We start from the raw sequence: 3,625 nt of genomic DNA, 5'->3' as shown, positions 1-3,625 counted from the left end.
GTGTCAGCCACCAAGGATTACATTATTAGCAAAAACTAAATAAAAATAAAAATAGCTGGGCATGGTGGCTCATGCCTGTAATCTTAGCACTATGGGAGGCCAAGACAGGTGGATCATTTGATGAAACACTGTCTCTACAGAAAATACAAAAATCAGCCAGGCATGGTGACCCTCACCTGTAGTCCCAGCTCCTCAGGAGGCTGAGGTGGATGGATCACCTGAACCCGGGAGGTGGAGGTTGCAGTGAGCCAAGATTGTGCCACTGCACTGCAGCCTGGCTGATAGAGTGAGACTCTGTCTCAAAAAAAAAAAAAAAAAAAAAAAAAAAAAAAAAAAAAAAAAGGAAATGTTGCATGTGTTCACGAAGCTCACAATCAAATGGGTGAGGCCAATTGTTAGTCAAATAATCTCTTAAAGAAATCTCACCTTGTAACTGTGATGAGAACAGAGCAGTGGCCCAGGTCAGTGGTGACTTATCACAGTAGAAGTGGTGGCCACTCAAGGAACTGATGAAGGAACTGAAATCTGATGGATGAGCATAGCTGAGCCTTTGTTTTCCCCCAAAGTCTCAGTATAATTTTGGAACTCACATCAACTTTGGATTCAGCTGATACATGCCACGACATCATTGACCACTGATCCTTTTAGAACCTTTGCACCTCACTTTGGGCTCAGTTTTCCTGGTTTATTTCCCATGCATCTTTTCTGCAGATTACTAGTAGCTGTTTTGAAGGAAGATAAATAAAAACCAGAATCCATCTAGTTCCCCGTATTTCCCTAAAACGACTAACCATCCCTAGAGTTTTCAGCAGAACTTTTCCCTATGATTGCACTTAGAGAATACTTTATAACGATGGTACTGTCTTTATTTTAAAGTAATGCGAACAACTTTACTTCCAATTACAAAAATCAGGGATCCCCAACCCCCAGGTGACAGACTGGTATACTGGTCTGTGGCCTGTTAGGAACTGGGCTGCACAGCAGGAGGTGAGTGGTGGGGCAAGTGAGCGAAGCTGAGCTCCACCTCCTGTCAGACCAGTGGCAACATCAGATTCTCATAGGAGCACGAACCCTATTGTGAACTGGGCATGCAAGGGATCTAGCTTGCATGCTCCTTGTGAGAATCTAATGATAAACGTAATGTGCTTGAATCATCCTGAAACCGTCCCTCCCACTCCTGGTCCGTGGAAAAATTGTCTTTCACGAAACCTGTCCTGGTGCCCAAAAGGTTGGGGATTGCTGACATAGATGATGCATATCTATGGGGAAAATCCCAGCCTAACAGAAACTTAAAAAAAAAGAAATTAAAATCACTTCAAAACTTGTAACCCATTGTTAACACTTCAGTAAACTTCCTTTCCCAAATCTCTCTTTGCACAAGTACAGACACATCAACGTCAATCGCATCTCATTTTGCGGGGCAGCTTTCTTCATGATGCAACATGCCATGGAGTTCTTGCCACGCCAATGCAATCAGTGAACATCGTTCTCTCCATGGTTGGGTCATTTCCCTCCAGGGAAATGGACATGAATTGGCAGGTGGCCAGCCCCACGCTGATGGACATGAATTGACTTCCAATTTTCTGTTATTTCAAATAAAGCTAAGATTCAAATCTTTGCACATACACCTTTGTTTTCTTGTTTGATTATCTCTTATGGGCAAATTACTAGATTCTTCTAATACTTAAACACATGCAAAGGAGGCAACGGGTAGGCCTCACTTCAATTCAGCCTAGTGAGACATTTCCACCCTCACTGCCTTCCCCGGCTGCCATCTATGATCCTGGGAGTACGTCCAGTGAAACTGACCCATTAGCGAAGGCTGCGTTTCAGATGCTGAGAAGTACGAGACACATTCTCATCCCTTGAGAAGATTAAACATCGAGAGGCTCCAGGGCCTTCTTATTAGTGGATCACCAGTTTTTCTTGTTCCGCCTCTCTTTCTGTGTTGTAGCAGATATGGAATTTCATTTAAGAGAATGTTAGGAGAAAAAGAGGGGTTCCAGGAAGATGAGGATATTCGGAGTGGAGATACCTGGATATTCCAACAGGATGAGGACGTCTCTGGCCCAGGAGTTCTGCAGGCCGCCAGGTCACGGATACCCACACAGGGGTGTGTTCGCGTGGCTTCTCGCTGGGCTGTGGAGATTCTTGATCCAGCCTCTCTGACCACCAGGCCTATGGGAGAAGTTGTGTTGTCTCATTCCCTGCAAGGGGTCAATTCGTAGGTGAAATGTTAGGATCAGTTACTTTATGCCACCATTTTTCTTGCAACTCTCTCTGTCCACGGTGCTTAGCTAGATCACTTACCACATCTAAGGCAGGTTCCTGCTGGCTTCTGTTGGTTGGAGACGGTGTAGCTCGGAGGTCCGCACAATCCCGGAGCAGCCACCCGGCGCAGCCGCCAGGGGGAGCCCCCACTTGCCTCGGAAGTCTTGGTGTACGCTGCGAACAGCCTTAAGGGTCTACAGAATTTATTCACCAGAGCAAGCCACTTCCCTGGCTTTTTCCAAAGTTTAACATGAAGGCACCACATTATTATTATTTTTTAGTTGCAAAATTGAATTGGAAACTTCTATTTTTCAATTGTCGTAAAAGTGTTTGTTTTGGCCGGGCGCGGTGGCTCACGCCTGTAATCCCAGCACCTTGGGAGCCCGAGGTGGGTGGATCACGAGGTCAGGAGTTAAAGAGCAGCCTGGGCAAGATGGTGAAACCCCGTCTCTGCTAAAAATACAAAAATTAGCCGGGCATGGTGGCGCGTCACTGTAATCCCAGCTGGTCGGGAGGCGGAGGCAGAGAATTGCTTGAACCCGGGAGGCGGCGGTTGCAGTGAGCTGAGATGGCGCCACTGCACTCCAGCCTGGGCGGCAGAGGCAGACTCTGTCTCAAAAAAAAAAAAAAAGAAAAGAAAAAAGAAAGAGTGTTTGTTTTACAGAAAGGAGTTGCATACATAATTCGGTTTTAAAATGTGTGATGAAGATAGGCTGAGTTTGTTGAACTGTACTCTGTTGAAGTATGTGATGTGACTCTGTTTCTCAAATTCCCTAACATTTTAGGAGAAAAACTTATCCAGTATTTTCTAGTGGGATTGCGTCAGAATTCTAGGGCTGACTCTGTGCAGACCTTGGTCAGAATAACTGGAGATATTTTTGTTATGTTGTTGGTTAAGAGGAGCGCTACAGCTGCTGTTATTTAATAGTTTGGTTTCAGATTTATAAACAACCACCCTTCTGGGAATGACAATGCGTGTTCTGCCTATCTTCTTAATCTCTGCCTCCGTGGGGCAGTTGTGATCTCCACTGCATGGTGCGATCCCTTGGATGCAGACGTGAGAGTAACACACAGTCTTCTGCACGACGGGAGGTTAGTGGATCATAACGGTCAGATAAAGCCTCCAGATTTGGCCTCATTTCTGTTGCTTCCAGTTTTGAATAATTATGAATAATGTTGACATGAACACTCATGTCCAGGTTTTTCAGTTAAAGATAAGCTTTTCATTTCTCTGGGACAGATATGTAGAAATGGGGTCCTTAGAAGGCTGGGCCTTACATAAGCAAATATTCACCTCCATAAGAAATCATCTGCCTTCAAGACAAGAAATAACCAAAATCAGAGGTGAACTGAA

General features: G+C 45.0%; 1 long non-coding RNA gene and 1 pseudogene across 1 annotated transcript; both read right to left on the bottom strand.

Moving 5' to 3' along the window:
* Nucleotides 1-562: 562 nt before the first annotated feature.
* LOC124901524 (uncharacterized) lies at nucleotides 563-634 on the bottom strand (annotated as a pseudogene).
* A 215-nt stretch (nucleotides 635-849) lies between these two features.
* Nucleotides 850-2,767, bottom strand: LOC729681 (uncharacterized). The gene is made up of 2 exons (NR_147704.1): nucleotides 2,311-2,767; nucleotides 850-2,207 (listed from the first exon to the last, which is right to left on the bottom strand). It is a non-coding gene; the product is annotated as an uncharacterized LOC729681 (long non-coding RNA).
* Nucleotides 2,768-3,625: the final 858 nt, after the last annotated feature.

This window comes from Homo sapiens, chromosome 6 (assembly GCF_000001405.40).
Source record: "Homo sapiens chromosome 6, GRCh38.p14 Primary Assembly".
Lineage (NCBI taxonomy): Eukaryota > Metazoa > Chordata > Mammalia > Primates > Hominidae > Homo > Homo sapiens.
The sequence above is the reverse complement of the archived record's forward strand: the minus strand, read 5'-3'. Positions and strand labels throughout refer to the sequence as shown.